We start from the raw sequence: 23,656 nt of genomic DNA, 5'->3' as shown, positions 1-23,656 counted from the left end.
CTACTCAAAAAACTGAAAGATAAAAGAAATTCATAGGACATTATTTCATGTATTATAGACCATAATTAACTCTATAGGCAAAATTGTCAGCTGTCACTTTATTGTCATAAAATGCTCCCGTTCTAATATTGGTAATCACACATTTAGAGGACCATTTCTAGAATTTTCCAAAATGTAGTATAAGGCTTACCCGTTTATCTATCTCTCCATGCTGCAGCTGAACAAAGCGGGCACTGATAGCAGCTATGTAACTCTGTTGATTAGAGAACGCAACTCTCCCAGCTCCTTTTGGGTATTTTAGCTCAGGGTCGGTATCAATCCCAGCGTAGCACACACCTCCATATAGCCGATCCATTATCATCGCAAGCTCCACTAATTAAGAAAGGAACAAGGAGGATATTTAAAATCAGGAAAATTCATCTGGCTCACCAACCGTTTCATCAAAAGCAATTCATCTGTACTCTGAGCTCACATCATTATAATAATTATTAAAATGAAACATTACTACAACCAGTCATCCATTGTGTTAAGCCTTAATCTTTTAATTGTGGGCAAGGGGTTGCTAGGTGTTTTCTAGTATGTTCTCTTTATTCTTCTCACAACTATATGAAGTAGGTAGTAATTTCCTGAGGAAATTGAGGTGCTGAAAGGGTGATCCATCTGTCCAAGGTCACAGGTCATTAAGTGATAGTACTCCCATGTTTGCCTGCTCTGTGCCATGTTGCTGCCATAGATTTACCAGTTAATAATGTATTGATTAATGTAATAATTACTTGAACACTAGAAAACTAACTGGTAGACTCTTTGTGGGCCCTCCTGGCTTATTTCCATCAAAACTCTTTCCCCACAGTCAGTTCACCAATTTTTCATTTAAAAAAACCTTGAAATAATGACTGCATTTTCTTCTTTATGAAGTGTTAAAATCGTGCAGCTACATTCCTGTTCATGTTATGTCTTTTTATCTCATGTATATTATTAAACCTCAAATTACTTGAAGTTAGGAATTTAATTTGTTCTGTAAGTACTACCCTAAAAATCTGATGCATTGCTGGGAAGTCTATTATATCCCAGAGCTCAGTCAGTCGCTGTTGAGCAAATGAGGATGTGGGAAACAAATACTGACAATCTCAATACAGAATCTATTCTTGAAGGACTTTTTTTCTTTTCAGACAATGATGAGCGTAATAATTAGCATTATGCAACACTAGACTAAGTACTTTGCACTGGTCGTCTAATTCAACCCTCAAAATAACACTAGGAAATACTTTTTCTGGTGTTATTTCATCCTAGGGATGAAACGCTTTTCATCCCTACTTGACAGATGGGGAAACTGGGAATTAGAAAAGTCATGGAATTTGTCCAAGGTCACTTAACTATTAGAACACATGAATTCAAACCCAGATATTTTGATTCTAGAACTCTCACTCTTGGATATTAACTCCAATTCTTAGGAAAAATTTATCCTGAAGATCTTCATATTTCTTGCGCTATAGGGTAGAGAGTTTGTCGTTTGTTTAATCATACCAGCTCGTAATGGTCGAGGAACACCACCAACAAATATAGTTTTTCGTGGGTCAAGTGGCTGTGAACCATCCATCACAAAGTCACTGTCACTGAGATTCCAAGGCCGAATCTGGACCTAGGGAATGTACAAACCAAAATGTCTCATTCTCAATACAGACAATTCATGGGCAAAAAAGTTAACAATTATTACAAAGTATTTTTAAAAGCAATAATCCTATGATTACAAGTCAATAAAGCTGGGAAACTAGAAGATTTAAAAACAGTGTATCCCAACCCATCGTTTCATTTTTAGAAGTAAACTAAACCAAGGTGGAAAGTTCAATTTGATTGTCTATTATAAGCCAAATTACTTAACATGTCCACAATTATTTGTAAGTTAATTCACTGTTTTTCAGCTTATTTGGGCCTTTAGTCTGTCCAATGCCTCAATATCTACATAATTTAAATTTTTAGCATGGTATCCAATGCCAATCAATATACAATACTAAGTAAACAAGAATTGTGTGTCCAATCAGTGTATGTCTAGGAAATGCAAACTACTCCTGATACTATCAAATCTGATGCATTATTTCAAAATGGTTTTCAAAGTAAAAATACTGATGATATTTGCAATAGATTTTTTTTTATGACAAATACTTCAGTGTATCCATTAGATAAGTCAATCAAGAATCATGTACCTCATTTAAAACTGTTCACATTTTCTAACTGTCACAAATGCCCACACCAAAGGCTATGGGTTGACAGCAGTGTATTCCCAAATATGCACACCAACAGAGTCCTAGGTCAGAGGTCCCAAATTCAAATACGGATGGGGATTGGCAGGGAACATAAACAAGTCAAGCAGAAAGAGTCCAGACCACAGGAACTCTTCGAAAGTTTCTGACCTAGACAACCACAAGACTTCAGGAGAAGCTCCACAGATGTTATTTGCTTAAGCTGGGCCCACTGACAACTCCATTCTGCACTATCATCATTCACTGGGTGCTGGCTGAGTGATAATAAACTGCTGCTTTGCCAGAGTCATCAAAACATGCCAGTTGCTCCTCTTCCTAAAGACTAAATTTTATGATAAACTTTTCCAGAAAGAAAAAACAGTATGCAATGTACCTGTACATGTATATACACGATTCAGTCTACTTTGGAGAGTACCATATATAAAGTTAAGGATAATATTGGGTAAAATCTTCATTAAAGTGAGGAAAACGCTAGAAAGACGTACACATAGTATTTGTGATTTGAGTTCCGTTATTCAGAGTTGATTCTGCTATTTTATTAAATGCATTATCAAATGAAGTCTGGTTTTTTATTTTATTTTATTTTATTTTATTTTATTTTGAGACAGAGTCTCACTTTTCACCCAGGCTGGAGTGCAATGGTGCAATCTCTGCTCACTGCAACCTCCGCCTCCTGGGTTCAGGTGATTGTCCTGCCTCAGTCTCCCAAGTAGCTGGGACTACAGATGTGCGCCACCATGCCTGGCTAATTTTTGTATTTTCAGTAAAGACTGGATTTCACCATGTTGGCCAGGCTGGTCTCGAACTCCTGACCTCATGTGATCCACCTGCTTCGGCCTCCCAAAGTGCTGGGATTACAGGTGTGAGCCACCATGCCCAGCCGTGAAATCTTTTAAAAATAAAGATTTACCAATTATATTTCAACTAACCAAAAATTCGATGTCAAATTGAGATGTGCAAATACACAGAATGTCAATGTTAAGAACTTCACAACAAGACTACTTAGTCTGCTTACAAACATGTCAATTAAGTACCCCAAACACATCAAGTTGTCTATGGGTTTTTCAAATATAACAGATGAATGGAGGCAAAAACAAGAAGCTATTTTATGCTAAACCACACTTACTGGCTTATCCTTGATAGTGGGACTTGATACACAAAGGTAGAGTTTTCCATCTTCTTCAATGCATGCATCAATGAGAGCCTGCACAGAGCTTTCATCTTGAAACAGCAGGAATGCATAGCCTGGAAAAAAGGGGGAAAGAAGGCTTACATGTTTTCCTATTTTTTGGTAATTCTTCAGGGGAAAGGAATCATGCACAAAACTAAAGAAAGGAAAAAGGAATAGGAAAAAAATTAAAACAATATTTATACCAAAAGTCTGATGACATCAACATACAGTTCATTTTGGTAGTATCTTGAAGCATCTTTTAGAGTAAAATTAAATTTGAATTAAAAGAATATTATGTTGAAATTTTAAAGAGCATTTGGGAAAATGCAAGTTTAACAATGCAACATTTTACAGTGAAGGTGAACATTTATGAAAAGGCTACACATTAAACAATGTAAGAATAAATTACATAAGTATAATGAATCTTGAGAATTACCTTTAGGAGGAAAATAGGATTTGCTCTCAGCTTTATGAGGCCAATCCACAATCAGAGGGCCAAAGCGACGAAAACTAGCTGTGATCTCATCTAATAAACAACAAAGGAAAACAGTAGATTTAAATATTTTTATGATCATTTTTTGAAAGTTTTTCTTTTAAGTTTCAAATCTACTATTTACAAGAACAGTAAAAAGAACTCCTTTATCCCCTTCATCTAGATTCCCCAACTGTTAATAATTTGCACATCTGCCTTCACCCTCTTTCTTCTCTCTTCCTCTTTCTCCCTCTATCTGTACATATGCACAAATCAATCTAGCCATCCAACCAAGCCAGCCAGCCAGCATCTTTTTCTGAAATGGTGCCCTGTAATCCCAAACATAACTATTGGTATCTGCTCAAAGCAGGGTCACTCCCTTATATATCAATTTTGATATAACACTACTATGCGATTCACAGACTTCATTTAAATTTCAAAATCCTTTCTGATCCACAGTGCTATCCAGAACATAGGTTGCACTTAATTATCATATCCTCAGAGCATCAGTCTTTTTTCAACTTGGAACAGCTCCATGTTCTTTCTTGTCTTTCATATTCATTCTATAGAATGACTGCTACGGTCCAAATGTTTATGTTCCCTCAAAATTCATATGTTGAAACCTATTCCCCAATGTAAGGGTATTTGGAGCTGGGGCCTTTGGTAGGTGATTAGGTCATGGGGGTAGAATCCTTTCAATGGGATTAGTGCCCTTATAAAAGAGGCTCTGGAGAGACCCTTCACTCCTTCTGCCATGTGAGTGTACAATAAGAAGATTATTATCTATTAGGAAGCAGGCCCTCACCAGACACTGAATTTGCTGGCACCTTGATCTTGGAATTCCCAGCCTCCAGAATGGTGAGAAATAAATTTCAGTTGTTTATAAGCCACCAAGTCTGTTATTTTTTTATAGCAACCTGAACAGATTTAAGATAGTGACCCTCAACCTGGGTCTGTGCTCTCCCTCCTATGAGCAGAATCATGTGACGTATTCCAAACTGGAATATCACCATAATGGTGCAATGCCATCCTTTCCTACCATGAGCATGTTAATCTTTTTTCCCCCAAGATAAGGGCTCACTATGTTGCCCAGGCTGTTCTTGAACTTAAGTGATCCTGCTGCCTCAACTTCCCAAGTAGCTGGGATTACAGGTGCATACCACCACACCTGGAGGGCATGTTAATCTTGATCGCCTGGTTTCTCTACCACAAGCAAACCTTTTCTCCTTTTGTATTCAATTAGCGTTCTACAAGAGTATATTGTGTTGCTCACCAATATCCTGTTCCTTCATGAGCCTTGGCATCCATTGAAGACTCCTGCATGTATTAACTACCACAATAATGGTTGCCAAATAATGATTATCTGTTTCCATCATTCCTTCTACATATATTAGTTAGTATTGTGCAGTAGAAGAGTTTTCCATCTGTCCCATTGATTTATTCATTTATTGATATCAGTTTGGGTCTATTTTATTCAATGGGTTGTGATCCAATTCACTCATTTATTTTGATGCTCAATTTGTCCCCAAAATTGTCCCTGATTTGGGACAATTTTTGTCCTGCGTGTCCCTTAGGCGTGGGAGGCTCCCATGTCCTTCGCACTTCTTGCCTCCATTCTTAAGCACTTTCATGCTTTCTGGCCTACGAAGATACTCCGGGCTCGTCTTATTCTTTCCCTGTCCCAGCCCAAGAATCAGTCATTTTTTTTCAAGATGTACTGATCATTTTAGTGGCAAAAGGTATTTAGAAACTAAGTTACAGGTGCTCTATATGCTCACTGCTAGTGAGTATTCATTATTTCTAAGTCTTCACAGTGAAGGAAGCTAGGAAATAAAGAAATACACGCCCAAACACAAATTTATAACTATTTCTGTATCTGTGTATGTACTTACAAAAACTAATGAGTTCATATTGATATTTTCAATATGACTCCAACATTTCATGGGTTTTTCTAGCCTTCCGCCTTTCTATTTTTATATTCTCTTTTTGCAGGGAGAAACCTAGCTCCCAATACCTGTAAAGACATTTATTAATTTGCTCAATGTAACCAATCTTTCCCCTATAGCCTCCTCTACCTTCTACCTTTGTGCCTTGGGTCTTCTCGCCCTTATTTCTTGGATACCATACGTACTGCTGCTCAGGCCTCTGAGCAAGCCCCCTCTACATACATTCATACACATCCCCTCCACTTGAGACCTCTTCCCTGTCACCAATCCACTTCCTTGACAGCAATATCTCAGCCTTAGAGGGAGAGGAAAAAGGGATGAATGGGAAAAAATGATAGACAAGGAAGACCTGACCACATTTTGCAATTTAAATGATACAAATTATGCTACATTATACATTTGGACACTAATGAGATTATGGAAAAATACATTTCAAAGAGACTTCTAGAAAGAGTAGGTAAGCATGTGTAGATAAGACCTGATAATAGGGCAGGGTAAAGGAACAGAAAAGAAAGATGAGGAGTATGCCTAAATTCCAGTCTGGCAGAGCTGTTTTCATCTTCCCCAGACTGTGAAACAGTCTAGTCTGCTCTTCTACGATACCTATTCTCATAGGTATCATAAGGGCTCACTATGTGAGCCCTTATCTTGGGGGGGAAAAAGGTTAACATGCGCATGGTAGGACAGGATGGTATTGCACCATTATGGTGATATTCCAGTTTGGAATACGTAGTGTGAGCAGAGTAAGTTTAGTTTGTGTGAGTCTAGTAAACAGGGAACAATGTCAGTATAACATGGAAGTTGTACTGGTTCATAAATGATTTTTCCTAGGCAAGGTAAGCTAGCATAGTGAGGAAAGAATTACAAACTTCATCAGGAAAGGAAAAAGCCCCCCACTTGTCTGACGTACAGGTACAAACCCTCCCAGCTCTATTGTAAGAAAATTAAAAATAAGTGCAGCAACCAGAATTCTCTTGTCAGAGAGCTATGCCCCTAACCTTGCAGGGCTCTTATCTCCTGACAGTTTAGTTTGCGCTTCCTCAGGTGTTCAAAGGTCTGTTTCCATCTGCATTTTCTCCATGCTTGCAAGCCAGCATTTCTGCTTTATTGGTTTTGTACATTTTCAATATTCCCTGAAGCAGCCCCAAGCATGCTGAGCTACTTGCCTGAATTGTCCAAGTTATCTCCAAGGTACTAATTCTCTTCTTGTTAGTGCTTCAGGTACAAAGTTCATTAGCTTTTAAATGATTTGTCTTTAACCTTATTTTCCCCCATAAACCCTGTAATTTTTAGTGCACAATTCTGCAGAACACAATATTCTTCAAGCTATGCTGAGGGCAGGATGGAGATTGATTCAGAGAACCCTGAAATTTCAGCATAGCTTCCACCAAGACATTTTATTGTGGACAACAAGAAAAAGCAAAAACCTCTATGTTTATTTCAATCTTTGGCTTTTTAGAACCATTTCTGTCTCAACCTTCCAAAAGATAAATCATCTTGAAGAAAATGAAGTGACTTGATAAGTCTGATCCCAATCTAAATGTGAAGATATTAAACCTTATTATTTATTAGATCTTATACATGTGTAAAGAAATCTATTCTATTCTCCATAATGTGATTTAGTGTATTTCCATTTTCACTCAGGAAACGAAGACAAAAGAAATTAGGAAAGCAACCAAAAATATGCTATAAGGTCTGCTACTTTGATTTTTATTGGGGTCACTCAGACCCACGGATGAATAGCATATTCCTGAACAAGTCCCTCTAAGTCTTTGCATGGCTGGCTCCTTATTCAGGTCTCAGCTTAAATATCACTTCCTCAAAGAGGCTTTTCTTATCCACCTAATTAAAAAGAAACTCCCTGCATCACTATTTTACATCATCCTGCTGTGTGCTTTTCAACACTTGCTCTCCAGTATTTTCTTGCATATTTATACATTGTTTATGGGCCTTCCCCCAATAAAATGTAAACTCTATGTAAGCAGGGACCTTCCATCTTGTTTACTACCTTAAGTAAGATTATCCTTCTTGTAGTACAACTGTAGGCTATATTTTTCAAAAGTTCATGCTTAGTCTAAGATTTTAAACAATGAACTATACATTTGTGGAGCACTCATAAAATGTGGGGGGAAAAAGGAAAATACATCAATGAATTTGTCCAAAGTAGCACACACAGACAAAAACGCAGTTAGTACCCATGTATGCCCACAATAATCAAGTCCCTTGGAAGCTTTCCCAGTGATGTTTACTCCTTTTCATATAGTCCAATGCCTTGCTTTAGTTGGTTTGCACAGCTCTGCTCCCCTCCCTTCTATGAATTAATCTTATATGCCATGATAGGAGGATAGGACAAGAGAACAATGCAAGCAGGGCTGACTATTGGAGCCAGATAAGACTGTTATTGTAACACTATCTGTGAGTTTCCTACTATGTGCCACCATCTGGGCACCGTGCTATAAACAGTTCTAAACATACCTTCATCAATGTCTGGAGGCAATCCGCCTACAAACACCTTTCGAGAATATCGTTCCACTCTTTCCCCATTCTGGTGACTGAAGCAGTGAGGTGAACCCAGGCCACTATGAAGAGGCTGATCCCCACGGCCATCATCCAAGAATCCATCTTCCATTGGAAACAGTGAAGACTGACCTGGAATAGAAAGCAGGGAAAAAACGGTAACAGAAAATGTTCCTTGCCACTGATTATCATGCAAAGAAACAAGGAAACAGCAGATTCAATAAAACTGCTGCTTTTATTTTTCTCACTGAATAATAGAAACACTTAGCTATACTCTTGAATTCCCACCAACTTAAAGTCCCAACTGAGTCAGAGAGAAAGCACACAGTTAAATATTAATAGAAGGCGACTCAAGTATCCCACTGGGATCCAGAAACTTCAGTGAGGTGAACTGAAGTACAGGAGGAGAGAGCACACTTTAACAAGCAGTCGGCAGAAGACTGTACTCCCTTGGCAGGGCCCCATGGCTATTGGCAACCTAGACATGTACACTCAATATTAAATTTGGCTGTAAGACATTGAATCACTTACATTTCTTTAAAAAAATCAAACAATATAGCCTGCACAGTTTCCTCTAAGAATGTGCTTAAAATGAACAAGTCAATTTTTTTTTTTTTTTTTTTTGAGACAGTGTCTCGCTCTTTTACCCAGGCTGGAGTACAGTGGCATAATCATAGCTCACTGCAGCCTCAAACTCTTGTGCTCAAGTGACCCTCCCACCTCAGCCTCCCAAGTAGCTGGGGCTACAGACACATGCCATGACATCTGGCTAACGTAACAAGTAGATTTTTAAAGTGACCACTCATTTTTATTTACCTTAACTAATGGGATATAATCAAAACCCACTTAATGTTATATTCCAACTTCATTGTGTAGTCTTATGAAATTTAAGATTATTAGGCATGCTAAAGATATATTTATTATTAGCTGGGTAATTATCAGCTTGCTAAGGGTATTATCTATTTCTAAAAACTAGTCATTAAATTTGCTGTTTGAAAATCTTATCGTCCAGAATATATATGCAGGAAACACCAGAGATGCCAATATGTGTAACAGTCTTTCCATATTTACCTGACAGCAAAATATAAACTTTTAAATCATAAGGAAAACACAGAGCTACAAATAGCTGCACAATCTCCCAAGCACTGTTTTATCACTTTTCTGGCTGCCAATTTACTTCTAGGTACTACATGAGGAATTTGTTAATGGATCTTCTAGAAATGTATCTCAAGTGCTCTTACTTTAATAGAAACATTCCAGGTTTTGCCACACTTGTCTTCAATTTCTATTACTAAACACAAATAATAACAGTATATTTTTTATAAATTTATCCTATAATAGCATATGTCAAGTGAAGACACAAACTGATTATAAAACTGGAGGTTATTTCATGAATGATCTTAAAAAAATCACTTATCCTTTAAATCTAAGCTATTTAACTGTCTTACTTTCTCGTAAAAAGGCAAAATATAGGTGCCAAGAATAAGTTATTCAGGTACCTCTACGAAATGATTCTTTAGAATTACCTAAAATTTCTAGAGCTTTTCCCCCAAATGTTTGAAATTTATAGGATTAGTCATTTATTTAGCTCATCTCATTTTAAACCACATGTATTGTTTACTTAGTAAAAAAGAAAAGAAAAAAGTTGACATAAGGCATTTGAGCATAATTAAACCTCCAAGATAATGAGGTATTTTGGGACTAGTGTCACTATATTTTTCTTTTTAAAGATTCTTAATTTTTTTCTAAGAAATTCCTTTCAGAAAGGAAAAAAAGCACATCTTTAGATATAAATAAGCTGAGTTTCTCATTTAACACAGGGAAATCATTTTGATTCAAATCCAAATCCCACCATTCTGCTAAATTTCTTTATAGCTCCTTAACTCCTTCAAATTATGTCTAAAATGTTAACTGTAACACAAAAATTACCTAAGGATCAAAGCTATGCTTCATTTCCCCTCTCCCCTTCCCCACAAAGGTTAGAAATTAAACAAGCTTGGGTCGTCTCCAAATACAAGTGATACATTTAAAAGTTAAAAACAATGTTACCTCTCCTTCGCCCATATGTCCTTGCTGCATGTCAAATGAGAAAAAAACAAAAACAAAAAAACAAAACAACCTTTCAAACATTGTCAAAAGAATCAACTGTGATTTCATCTACCAGCTTTTGAAAATGGAAAAACTGTGACTATATTCTTCATTTCCTGGTAAATGTCTAAAAAAACAAGGAACGGGAGGTAAGAGGTCAATTTTGGGCATTTTTAAAATTTCTTCAAGGACACTGTAAAACTTTATTGAATCTTATTTGTTTTATGGGAAGCTTTTTGCTGTAATTGTTGCCCAAGGTTCAAACTATTATGAAACTAAGGCAGTATACAACATAATAAAAACCAACTATTACCATATTAATAACGTTTTCTCTCAGAATTCCCTGCTAACTAGCAATTTAGTAGATATACCAATATTTAATTCATGACTTTTTCACCACCAGAAGATAAATAACAACTTTACAGTATTCCTCAGTTAATCCCTTATAAGAGAAAATCATAACAAATGAAATCTTTAAGCAATTCATCAACTTCCTTTTAGCCAACAGTTCCCTATGCCTAATCAAGTCTTCTACCAAGTCCTAAATGTTGAAAAGTAAAAGGCTTGGTATTTTTATTGCCAAGTAGGTTGTAGCCAAGGGGCAAAGTAAAGGTAATTAATAATCCACTGGAATACTCAGGAAATGACAGTATAAACTTTAAATCAGAAAACCTTTGAGAAAATGTCTTCCCTGAAACAAACTGGCACTTATAAGCCCAGCCTGTCCAAACACCTCAATTCTATCCAACGAACATTTCTTGAATGCCTGATCTTGTGGATAAATAGTAAATAGTGCATGTCCCTGACCTCCAGGAACTAGCAGCTTTTAATGCCAGAAGGCCACATAAGCAAACAACAGTGTAGCATGCCTATTGTTATACTAGTTATGTGGTAGGTGTAACAGGAATAGAGGAGGAAGAACTGACTCTGATGAAAAAGTTGGGGGTGGGGGTAGGGAATTTGAGGTGGCCCTTAACAGAAAAACAGAGGAAGGGCATTCCAGGCTCAACAGCGTTACACGCAGGGGTGCTGCTGTAGCATTCAGGGAAAGGTGGCCGAACAGAAGCATGTAGAACAAGTGGGGACTTGGCTGGGGATGAGGTTTCAACAGTAAACTGGGATGGGTTTTTTCTTTTTGGAGACAGAATCTAGCTCTGTCACCCAGGCTGGAGTGGTGCAATCTCAGCTCACTGCGGCCTCCGCCTCCCGGGTTCAAGCGATTCTCGTGCCTCAGCCTCCCCAGTACCTGGTACCACAGGGGTGTGCCACCACGACCAGCTAATTTTTGTATTTTTTTTTTGGCAGAGATGGGGTTTCACTATGTTGGCCAAATTGGTCTCGAACTCCTGATCTCAAGTGATCTGCCCACCTCAGCCTCCCAAAGTCCCAGGGTTACAGCCTGGGATAGGTTTTTGAGTTAGAAGGTATAGCTCCTTTAAGAAATCACTATACAAACTCACAAACTGGTCAAGGTTTTTATTCTCATTCTTCCAGATAAATGCTAAATAATTATAACTCAGAAATATTATGTGAGTATCTTCCAAAGTGAAATTATATCTCAAACCAAAATACATTTCTGCCACACTTAGATAGCCCTGGATTTCACCAAAGTATTTGAGCAAATGGATTCACACAACATACAATCTCCCTCAAGCACTTGTGCTTTCACTTTAATAGGTCTTAAGTTTAGGGGGTTGGGGAGGGGTAGGTATTTTCTGACTTAATCAGACAGAGGTTAGAAAGACAAATAGCATCACAAAGCAGATGCTTGTTTACGAACATTCTATTCATACAACTGCTTCAAAGATTAGGGAGTCTGGGGAAACAAAGTAACGATTTGAAAATCTTAATGCTGTCAATCTTAAAAAGTTGATTGATGCTGCTTGGATTTCTGAGAAAACAGATATTTGAAAAGAATAAGCTTTTATAATATAGCTACAAAATTAACATGAAAACTCTCATGGCTTCCATTATATCAAAAATAAATAATTTCCGGAATAGTAAGGGCTGTGGATCAAAAGTTACAATCAAATACTCTCGAAATCTTCAAATGTACACTCTCAAACTTTGATTGTATACTATAAAATTAAACTGGTCAATATAAAATAATTCATGGTTAAATTCTGAGATTAAATTCTGAAAGCTATGTAGATATTTTCTCATATTAAGGGAAAATAGGTTATAAGTGAATAATGTTTACAACTATAAAAGTTGCCCAATCAAATCAGGAAATTAATGTAAATTAATATTGAAGAAATAAAAACAATGACATTCTGGAACATGCAAAACGAGAATGTGTAATTTTTATTTCCACTTATTGTAATACTTATACATTATTTTTCATGTAAATTTTGACATATGACATATACACAAAAATAAACCATAAGTTCAATGAATTTTCTACAAATTGAACAGATCTATGTAACCAGAACCCAGACATTAATAGAATGCTAAATAACGCCACTTTATCTTACATAAAAAAGATGTACTAAGCACTTTTCCTCACTTATTTCAAATTATATTGGCACACACTTTATGATGAAATTCTTGCAACATAGAACTTCTCTGCTTTCCTGAGGAAAATGTCAGACAGATTTCCAATCTCATGACTAGCAAGTATTGCCTGTTATTTGATGTTTCTCAAATATCCGAGGAAGTGTAAGTTAAAAAATGACTTTAATTATGTTCAAAGAAATCTACATTTTGGAAAAGTTCTAAGTCAGCCAAACTAACCCTGCTCAGAAGTTTCCTTCAGTTACCAAAAAGTAGACTCTTCAAAGATTGTTTAGATGCATGCTCTTGCCACTGAATAAAAATCTCCCAGTCCCCACCAAAGTTTAAATGATTACGATTTATATGTTTATCCACTTGTATTATTTCTTAGTTTTGATTTATTTTATTTTTATTTTTGGAGATGGATTCTCGCCCAGGCTGGAGTGCGGTGGCACGATCTCAGCTCACTGCAACCTCTGCCTCCCAGATTCAAGCAATTCTTCTTGCCTCAGTCTCGCTGGGACTATACACCACCACATCCAGCTTTTTTTTTTTTTTTTTGTATTTTATTAGAGACATGGTTTTACCCTGTTGAACAGGCTGGTCTCAAACCCCCGAGCTCAGGCAATCTGCCCACTTCAGCCTCCCAAAGTGCTAGGATTACAGGCGTGAGCCACCGTGTCCAGCCTAGTTTTGATTTATAAAGTCCTCAATAATTTAATGTTCAGAACTAACAGGATTCAAGATTGTTAAAAAAAAAAAAAGGCTCAAAATATTATGGCCATAAATTTTTATAACTTCTGGATACCTGCTATTAGATCTATTGATATACTTTATTTCTAAAACGTCTTTACAGGATTGCTTACAAATGCTTCCTTTCCTTGTTATTAGCCCTATATGCAGAATCAAATTCCCTCTAGCAAAATGTTCCATTAATCTGTAATGCCAGACTTACGAAGAAGGTACAGAAAGACTTGTCAGGGCTCCCCTGACTTTCTCCCTCCCCATACATTTTATTATAAAAATAAAATATTATTTATCCCATAAAAAGTACTTTTTTCTCATTTGTTGCAACATTTGTAATAATCAAAAAGAAACAAAGTACCCACACATTCAAAAGAAGAAACACCTAGTAGGTGGCATTTGTATGTATGTATGTATGTATGTATGTATGTACGTATTTCAAAGGAGCAACCCTATTAACTGAGCATGTGGCATTTTTAAATGTGGCTCACGTTCATGTACCTAAAGCTCTCTAAGATGCTGGCCTGCATGCAGTGTCTAAGTGTGTATTGTAGAATCCTTATTGTGTACATTTAAAAATAAAGAAAATATAAATAGATATGTGGGACTATGCATAAAATCTTTTTACTTTTTATTTTATTTTTATTTTTATAGAGATGGGGTTTTGCCATGTTGCCCAGGCTGGTCTCAACTCCTGGGCTCAAGAAATCCATCCACCTGGGCCTCCCCAAGTGCTAGGATTGTAAGCATGAGCCATTGCGCCTGGCCATGAAATACTTTTTTCTAGAAACAACCACAAGAACCTTTGGAGAGAGAAACTTCTAGAAAGAGGAAAGAAGGCATTCACTTCTTGTTTTATCCCTTTTTGTACCATTTGAATTTATTATTATTGCATATGCTATATTGCTATATTTGTTAATGAACCCTTTTTGGTTTTCTCCTTGGTACTAATATTAAAAATGAACAAATGACATTATTACTTTCATACAAAAGCATACTTTCCTACATGACAGCACCTAATCAATTCTGTCACGAATAGGACTTTAGGCCATGAAGGATAAGATATTACTATGTTTTAGTGGACAATGAAAAAACGGATCCTATTCGGGTTACGCTGATCTACCTTAGGCTCTCCAACTGTGCACCTCTCTCTGCCCCAAGGTGAGAAGACAAATAGCAATTCTATCTGGAAAAAAAAGGGGGGTGTAGCTCAGATGATAAGATGTTATCAGATAACTGGCTTCTTTTGGCTAGGCATGGTGGCTAACACCTATAACCCCAGCACTTTGGGAGGTTGAGGTGGGCAGATCATTTGAGGTCAGGAGTTCGAGACCAGCCTGGCCAATATGGTAAAACCCTGTCTATACTAAAAATATAAAAATTAGCTGGGTGTGGTGGCACATGCCTGTAATCGCAGCTACTTGGTAGGCTAAGGCAGGAGAATTGCTTCAACCCGGGAGGTAAAGATTGCAGTGAGCTGAGATTGCACCACCGCACTCCAGCCTGGGCAACAGAGCGAGATTCCGTCTCAAAACAGTACAAAACAAAACAAAACAACCTGACTTTTCCAGGAGGACTAAAAGAAAATATATGGGGAGAGGAGTGTAGAAATTAGCCAAATTAGTAAATCAGTTGAAAAGATATAAATCAAAGGCTTGAAGCTAAAAGGAATTAATCTGTGAACAAAAGAATAAAGATGGTAGAACCAAAAAGCAGACACAATCATCACAAAGACCAAAGCATACGATTCAACAAAGATGCAAAGAACCATTTTAAATGATTTTATAAATTAATCCCTAATTTAATAGGCTCACTGCCACAAAATTAATTTACATTTGCTTTATAGTTAGAAATTCCTATCACATTGGCTTATGCTTATATTAGCTTGTTGGTACAACAACATTCAAAGAATGTTCCTAAGATATGATAAAGACACTATTATTTGTAAGGCCTACCTTAGAAAAGAGCAGAGAATGCAACTCTAGTTTCCTTATGTCCCTAACCCTCAGTTTCTTTATTTATAAAAATGGGAAGCAAATGAGAGAATAATGAAAAACACAATGTGTATATGTAATGGTCAGTCACATACTCAATAAATAATCTCCCTTTCCCAAAAGTAAATTCATATGCATATATTCTGAGTATGATCTTCAACAATTATTCTCAGCTTTTCATTAGCATTTTAAGGTTAACAATTGTAGAGCACTTTAGAGTTTACAGTTTGTTTTCATATTATCTTTTCAATGAAGGGATCTTTCAACATGCTTATTATTGTAGCAACTAGAACCATATTACACACATTTTCAGTAAGTGATCATCATCTACATTTCTCTTGAGTAAATTACACCTTCCTTTTTGATAGATTTCTTCCCCCTCCCAAGCAAACAATCTTCCTCTTTTCATTCCAAAAAACTATAATTAAGAGATGTTGGGCCGGGTGAGGTGACTCACACCTGTAATCCCAGCACTTTGGAAGGCCGAGGCAGGCCGATCACTTGAGATCAGGAGTTCGAGACCAGCCTGGCCAACATTGTAAAACCCCATCTCTACTAAGAATACAAAAATTAGCTGGGCATGGTGGCAGGTGCCTGTAATCTCAGCTACTTGGGAGGGTGAGGCAGGACAATTGCTTGAACCTGGGAGATGGAGGCTACAGTGAGCCGAGATGGAGCCACTGCACTCCAGCCTGGATCAGACTGGAGTCTGGATCAGTCCAGAACAGACTTCATCTCAAAAAAAAAAAAAAAAAAAAAAGGAAAGAAATGTTGTTCTGTGCTACCCTTAATAGATCTCTTACTAATCACTTCCTCAAAGGAAAGAAAATACATATATGAGTTGTTAAAACTTAACACGTTTTTTTTGCTCTATAACTTTCTCCTGCCACAAGGTTCATTTTTGAAGTAGCTAATCCTGAGGGCTAAAGCAGGAGAATGAAAGGTTAGAGAAAAAAAAAAAAAAAGTATAATGCACAAGCATTTTTATACAGAGGTGGTGGTGGTTTCTTAGGTAAAATAAAGTTTCAAGCTGGGTAAGAGGAAAACTAATCTTTTAATCCAATGTCTATCTCAGAGCTAAGCCAAGATACTCCAGAGGAATTTGAGGTAACTAGCCTATGTTTAACACTTCTTCTCACTTAACTGGGAAACTAAGTTTTAGGCTTGCTTCTCATAACCATAAAATGGGCATTCTAACTATATCCCTACTACATGAAATTTACTAGTATAAGGCATCTATTATGGGCTGAATTATGTGGCCACCCCCTACCCCCACCCTCCTGCCCAAATTCATATGTTGAAGTCCTAACCTCCAGTACCTCAGAATGTGACTATATTTGGAGACAGGGTCTTTAAAAAGGTAATTAAGGTTAAATGAGGTCACTTGGGTGGTCCCTAATCCAATATGACTGGTGTCTTTATAAGAAGAGTTCAGGACACAGACATGCACAGATGGAAAACCATGTGGCAACACAGCTATCTATAAGCCATAGAGAGATGCCTCAAAATAAATGAACCCTGATAACACCTTGCTTTTGTACTTCTAGCCTCCAGAACTGAGGAAGTAAATTTCTGTTTAAGCCAGTAGTCAGTGGTACTTATTATAGCAGCCCTAGCAAACTAATAGAGCACCCAAAAAGTAGCTTTAGATAGTTTGGTTTTAAAAATACATTGAAAATCCAAGAACTGTCCCCAAGATTGCCCCTCAAAAAAATCTCTACAACTATTAACACAGCAATAAATTGAAAAATTCCCTAGAGTGTGAATTGTAACATTCTTAACACAATTACCAATCATTGTTGAATTATATTGGCACTGCCTTTTAACATGAGTGGTATACGAAGGTCATTGTATGAAACTGTAGGAAATTGATGATCGAGCAGGGCAAAAAAATAATTTGATCCATGGATGAATACACCCTATTTATCTTTGTAAAGGCAAATTACAACATTAGTCCAATATAAACCACTGAAAACTGGTTGGTGACTCTGACTTTTTTCTTTTAATTATTGTTATAATTTTTCCAATAAGAGGCTGGTGAGGGGATTTTCTTTCTGTTTATTGAGGATTTAAACCTCTTTCTAAAAGCTTTGAGGTTGCTTGAAAATTTCAAAATAAAGCATAAAATAAAAATCAGAGAGTCAAAATTCAAATGTTCATGTGAGAAAGAGAATAAACAGCTGCTCTACATTTTTATCGAAACAAAACAAGAAACGGCTTTCAACAGATAACTTGGAAGAAAAAGCTCTGAAAGTTACATTGAAACAAAGCAGAGTGGCTATATAATCACCTTATTAAAGGTTTTTAAAAGCCTGAATAGATTACAGTGGACAAGGAAGAATAGCTCCTTACAGCACCTTTCAGTCTTAAAATTAAACAATGACTATAAAGTGACATAATAGATTAGGCTTTTATTTTCAGTTTTAAGAAAAGGCTGCATGGACACAAGACATGAAGGGAATGCATTTGAAAGTGCATAGTTTTAGATTATCTACCTTAATGACAGACAATGAAAGCATGTTCAACTTTCAACAATTTTTGCAAACTCATATTAATCCTTTGTTCTGTATTTTTTTCTTATATATTTTCAGCTATTAAGAATCAATACATGAATGAGATTAATTCCTAACCAAAAATATTACTTATTCTAATTCTCTTATTTTGACTTACTACGTGCCAGGTGCTATGCTAAGTGATTTACACACATTGAATCTTCACCACAACCCTATGTGATGGGTAGTACCTGTAAATTCTTTAATTAATCTTCACTAAGCACAATTCATTATGCCAGATTTGCAATACAGGTACCCCCAAAACCTGAGCTAAAGTGAGAGCAAAGCTACTAAGAATGAATACATGAATGAGGTTAATTTGTCTACAGATGTGATCCACTCTAGAAGATATTTCACAAACATGACTGACAGAATGGACAATGTGCATATCTTGATCAAGGTCACTAAAAAATTCTCAACACCTCTCCTCCCTACCTAGTTTTAATTTCACGACTTTCAAGCAATCTTCTGCTCTAATCTGGACATTGCTACTGGAGAGAGAATAGGTCGGTCGAGTAGTCACCTCTGGCATCTGGTCTACCTGGAAGTTTTATGCTTCATTATAAATGAATAAATTGGCATCTGGTCCTAGTTGGTTGGTTACTAAAAAACTAATCCTTCATCAAATCTGACAAAATCAAGTTTTGGGGCCCCATGAAGCTCAGTACTAGACCTGAGACCACGGCAACTGTAAACCCCACACTCCCGGGTCTTGCTTGGGGAGCCAGCAAGAGATGTTTCTTAGAAGAAAGACATCTCTCTTTGTCCTTTATCTTCATGTCTTTCAGTTTGAGGCAATGTTAACCCAAGTCAGTATGCCTTTATAATAAACAAAATTTCCACGTATACAACATTAAAAACTATCTAGTCTTCTCTTAAAGTTCATGGACCAGTAAAATTTGAAAACATAAATATTTTGGGAAAAAGTTACTTTTATTTTTTTATTGACAAGTAAGATCATTAAAAATTATTTATGAAAGAAAGGATAGTAATGAAGAAAAAAGGAAAGGCAATCTCATAATAGTATACTTTTTTCTTTTTTTGAGGCAGGGTGTCACTCTGTTACTGTGGCTGGAGTACAGTGGTGCAATCATGGCTCACTGCACCCTTGACCTCCTCGGCCCAAGCAATCCTCCCACCTCAGCCTCCCAAGTAGTTGGGACTACAAGCATGTGCCACCACACCTGGCTAGTTTTTAAAAATCTTTTGTAGAGACAAGGTTTGGCCATGTTGCCGAGGCTGGTGTTGAATTCCTGGACTCAAGGAATCCTCCTGCTTTAGTCTCCCAAAGTGCTGGGATTACAGGTGGCTTTTTTTTCCTAGTTAAGTGAATTTAGCTTTAAGGAAAACCCACTAGAGAGAGTTTATTTTTCTCGACAACCCTCAACAAGATGGGCCCCAGAGGCAACTAATCCAACAGGAACACCTTCATAAGGAAACTGGGACAAAGAAGAGTTGATCACTTTGCCTAAGATGACACAGTAATATCCCCAATCTTGGTTCACTACAATTTCCAGTACTTGGAACTGACTTGAACTAGTTCCAAAGGAAAAGGTAAACTCTTCTGCATGTATATATATATCCCTTATGTTCTCCTTATCCTGATGCCACTGTCGCCACTGGGTTTGGTTTTTGGCCTAATATATTTATGCTAGAATATTACATTATGGTATTATTTCTCGCACTGTAGCATGAAAAGACCTACATCTGATGACCAAGTAAGATTTTATAAACTATTTAGTCTCTAGAAGATCTGATGTACCCAGCAATTCTCAAACATCAAATCTCCTGCTAACTTCTCCTGGCTCAACAATCCTTCAACATATTGATTTCAAAAGGAGATCCAGTTATAAAAATAATTTTTAACTCCTCATTCACAACATACTAAAATCAAGGAGTGGAAGAATTTTTATTTTTATTTGTTTTGGGAATTATGAGAATATAGCTATTTAGTCCATAACACTTCTTAGAGGTCGTGGGACTTAAAATGAGCTTTGACAAATGGAAGACATTTTCTACACACAGAAATTTGAAATCCACATTCCATAGCAAATTAGTAGAAAAGAAGTAAACAAGACCTCTGTATTTCACCCAATTGTTTTAGACCATGATACTAAAAAAACAGACACTAAAATTCTTGTGAGTGGATATTCCCTCCTCCTGGTGAAACTTAGCTTGCTTCACTATGCGCATAAAAAGAGAACTCAACAGAACATTAGCACAGGAAAGGAGAATCTAATGAAGACACTGGAAAGCCAATAAAACTTCATGTTTCTTGTTTTTGTTAGACAGCAAACAGCAAATGACCTTGTCCTATGCAATGTCAAGCACTGTGGTTTTAGGCTGCCTTTTTCTGGTTTTAGATCTCTGCTTATCCTTTCCTCTTGGAACATTTTTCCAGCCACGTGGAAATGGCTTTTATGTTGACATTTCAAAGGTCACTCTACAGAAGCTAATATTAGATAAAGCCAATCTTTAGGTATCATTATGGGATTTTCATTCTCATTGTCACCAAGTTCAGGACAGGGAATCAGTTGGCCCTCATATTAAAAAGAAAAGTTTCTGCCACAATTGTGAGCTAAAAGAATCATTCTTAAAATAGCTGATAGTTTAATAGCAACTTACAGTTATCATTACAGAACAAACTAATGTCATTTCTCCACTGCTGAAGCACAACTACTGTATCAGTTTTGTGCACTTCACTAGGGTAAATCAATTATCACTTACCATTAATAAGCAGAGAGCTATCGGATCCTGGATATGAATAGTTTAGACGACCTGAAGGTAAAAGAAGGCCGTTACTAAGTTTACTTTTTTCATAGATGGTTTAAACTTATTCAATAACAGAGCTGAATTGACTTGCTTTCAAATAGGCAAGGTATTTGAATCAGAGGATATATCAATCAGCATGTTCATCAATATTCAAAAAGGAAAAGTTTGAAAGTAGGAAAAGAAAGTATCTCTCATATTTAACTAGGTCCTTCTAATTTACAAATTTCCATCCAAGGTAATTTTCTTTATACCATTATGTAATAGCAACTCATTATGACAATCTTCACATTTCTGCCCCAATAAATGTGAAAATTTTTCTTCATTTGTGTAGTGTTTTGTTACTTTTGAAACTATGTAATTGGCAGTAATATTCTCCTATGTGATTCATAAGAAAAGTGCCAGGCTTATGCCTACATGTAGAGACAGGCTAATGGGTTTAATTTCAGGTTTGGGGAAATATTCTCAGAGGGAAGAAGAACATTTCACTAAACTTACATATGATGAAAAATATCAAAAGCCCAGGGCACAGTAGGCACTCACTAAATGCTGGGTTACTTTCCTCTGAATTTTGAAGTGTGTCAAAATCTACTTTTGAAACTAAAATGGGCACCCAAGATACCCCTCAAAAAAGAATTTGTGAAGGTACTAAAATTTTTGTTGGATGAACTGTCTTCCAAATTGGTAGCCACAAATGCATGGCGGGGGGAATGGCACTGGGATTTCTCTATGTTGAAGGAATTACATTTCTGTTTTGGAAGAGTTTTACATGTAAGTTGAGTTATCTACACTACAAATCCTTACTGAGTACACATATGGACCTAGTTCTATACTGTAAGTTATAAAATAAGAATCATCATGCAACACTTTTACATCTCCAAAGCCCACATGCCATCTGCACCCACCTTGAGAAGAATGACTGAAGAACCCTCAACAGGTCTTCCTCATCTAAGGAATGGATAGGGGGACCTGGTTGTTAGTTCTCTACTATAGTCCCACCTTCTATAAATCAGGATTTAGAACAGGACTTTTAAAGTGACTCGGAACTACAAACATTCCTTTAGGAAACAGCAGTCTGAACTCTGACCCCACAGAACCATGACTCTCAAAAGCTAAGGAATAACGGATAAACAGAGGTTCTCCAATGGCTTGCGGCTGGGGCAGGCCTTCCAGGATGCCAGCAAGGACTCTAGCTAGTTCCACTAAATACTCTGGGAACCAGAGCTAACATGGGGTCCCATCAATCCAACAGCTACATATTAACAACTCTTTAGAAAGGAACTTAAGGTCTTCAATGTTTTAAAATGCTGCTTCTTTGAAACAGTCTCCATAGTAATGAACTCATGGCATGAAAAGAGGAAACTATTCTCTATTGCCAACAGCTTTAATTAATCCATATCCAAAACTTGAAGTCTGGATAAACTCTGAACTTTATAATTTTCCTACAATTTTTTTTTTTTTTTTTTTTGAGACAGAGTCTCACTCTGTCTCCAAGGCTGGAGTGCAGTGGCGCAATCTCGGGTCACTGCAAGCTCCGTCTCCCAGGTTCACGCCTCATTCTCCTGCCTCAGCCTCCCAAGTAGCTGGGACTACAGGCGCCCGCTACCATGCCTGGCTAATTTTTTTGTATTTTTAGTAGGGACGGGGTTTCACTGTGTTAGCCAGGATGGTCTCAATCTCCTGACCTTGTGATCCACCTGTCTCGGCCTCCCAAAGTGCTAGGATTACAGGAGTGAGCCACTGCGCCCGGCTGCCAATTTTCCTACAATTTTAAAACCAAATGAAAGGATTTAAAAGAAACTAAGTTGGTAATCGTTCCATTTAAATTTCAGCTTAGTCCTATGTAGGGAGTGGAGGTAGGAATGGAGATGGAAGAAAAAAAGGTAAAAATTAATTTTGACATTTCAATTTCTTCCTAAAAATTGGTTTCATTCTTTACTTCTAATGTACATAGCCAAGCACCCAAATCTACTGAATTCTATCTAGGCTACTTTTTAACTAAAGCCTGGATCTATGGCCTGTCACAAGTATGTATTTTTAAAAGGATAGACTTGAGATGCTACGAGCAAGAACATGACCCTGTTAAAAACTTGGGGGATGGAGGGCCAAGTGCGGTGGCTCATGCCTGTAACCCCAGCACTTTGAGAGGCCGAGGCGGGCAGATTGCCTGAGATCAGGAGTTCGAGACCAGCTTGGTCAATGTGGTGAAACCCCATCTCTACAAAATACAAAAATTAGCCAGGCGTGGTGGTGCACGCTTGTAATCAACCCAGCTACTGGGGAGGCTGAGGCAGGAGAATTGCTTGAATCCAGGAGGCAGGGGTTGCAGTGAGCTGAGATCTCGCCACTGCTCTCCAGCCTGGGAGACAAGCACAAAACTCTGTCTCAAAAAAAAAAAAAAACTTGGGAGGTGGGAACAGAGTACTGTTTCTGAATCACAACTAAAAGTAGCAGCTGATTTTCTGTAATGGAACATATATAGAGATTTTATACTTCTAAAACTCTCTAGTAAATGAATAAGAGCTATCACACTTTCATTTATCATAAAACATTTTCAGAAGAATGACTAAATCAATATAGAGACAAAAATATTTGATAACATTAGTTGAAATATTAAGAGGAAATGTCTTATTATCTCCAAGAAGATATTCT

The 23,656-nt window shown here is 37.1% G+C and overlaps 1 protein-coding gene across 5 annotated transcripts in view, besides 1 other annotated feature; it reads right to left on the bottom strand.

Moving 5' to 3' along the window:
• CPEB4 (cytoplasmic polyadenylation element binding protein 4) overlaps window positions 1-23,656 on the bottom strand; it is a 73,632-nt gene that overhangs the window by 8,518 nt on the left and 41,458 nt on the right. For 2 of the 5 annotated variants that reach the window (NM_001308191.2, NM_001308193.2), the window contains exons 3-7: window positions 8,323-8,496; window positions 3,866-3,955; window positions 3,385-3,503; window positions 1,525-1,639; window positions 191-372 (exon numbers count right to left, since the gene is read on the bottom strand). In NM_001308191.2, the coding sequence (NP_001295120.1) occupies window positions 191-372; window positions 1,525-1,639; window positions 3,385-3,503; window positions 3,866-3,955; window positions 8,323-8,496 (680 nt within the window). Of the gene's footprint in view, window positions 1-190; window positions 373-1,524; window positions 1,640-3,384; window positions 3,504-3,865; window positions 3,956-8,322; window positions 8,497-10,413; window positions 10,438-20,962; window positions 21,014-23,656 lie in introns of all 5 variants that reach the window. The other 3 variants (NM_030627.4, NM_001308189.2, NM_001308192.2) reach the window with 3 other exon arrangements.
• Window positions 11,165-11,803: an enhancer, noted in NCBI's record as "H3K27ac-H3K4me1 hESC enhancer chr5:173368663-173369301 (GRCh37/hg19 assembly coordinates)". NCBI's record gives its function as "activates a minimal SCP1, AML or CMV promoter by ChIP-STARR-seq in primed H9 embryonic stem cells {active_cell/tissue: H9 hESC(primed)}" and the evidence as "EXISTENCE:reporter gene assay evidence [ECO:0000049][PMID:30033119]".

This window comes from Homo sapiens, chromosome 5 (genome assembly GCF_000001405.40).
Source record: "Homo sapiens chromosome 5, GRCh38.p14 Primary Assembly".
In the NCBI taxonomy this organism is placed as follows: domain Eukaryota; kingdom Metazoa; phylum Chordata; class Mammalia; order Primates; family Hominidae; genus Homo; species Homo sapiens.
Note: the sequence above shows the minus strand (reverse complement) of the source record. Positions and strands in the feature narration are given on the sequence as shown.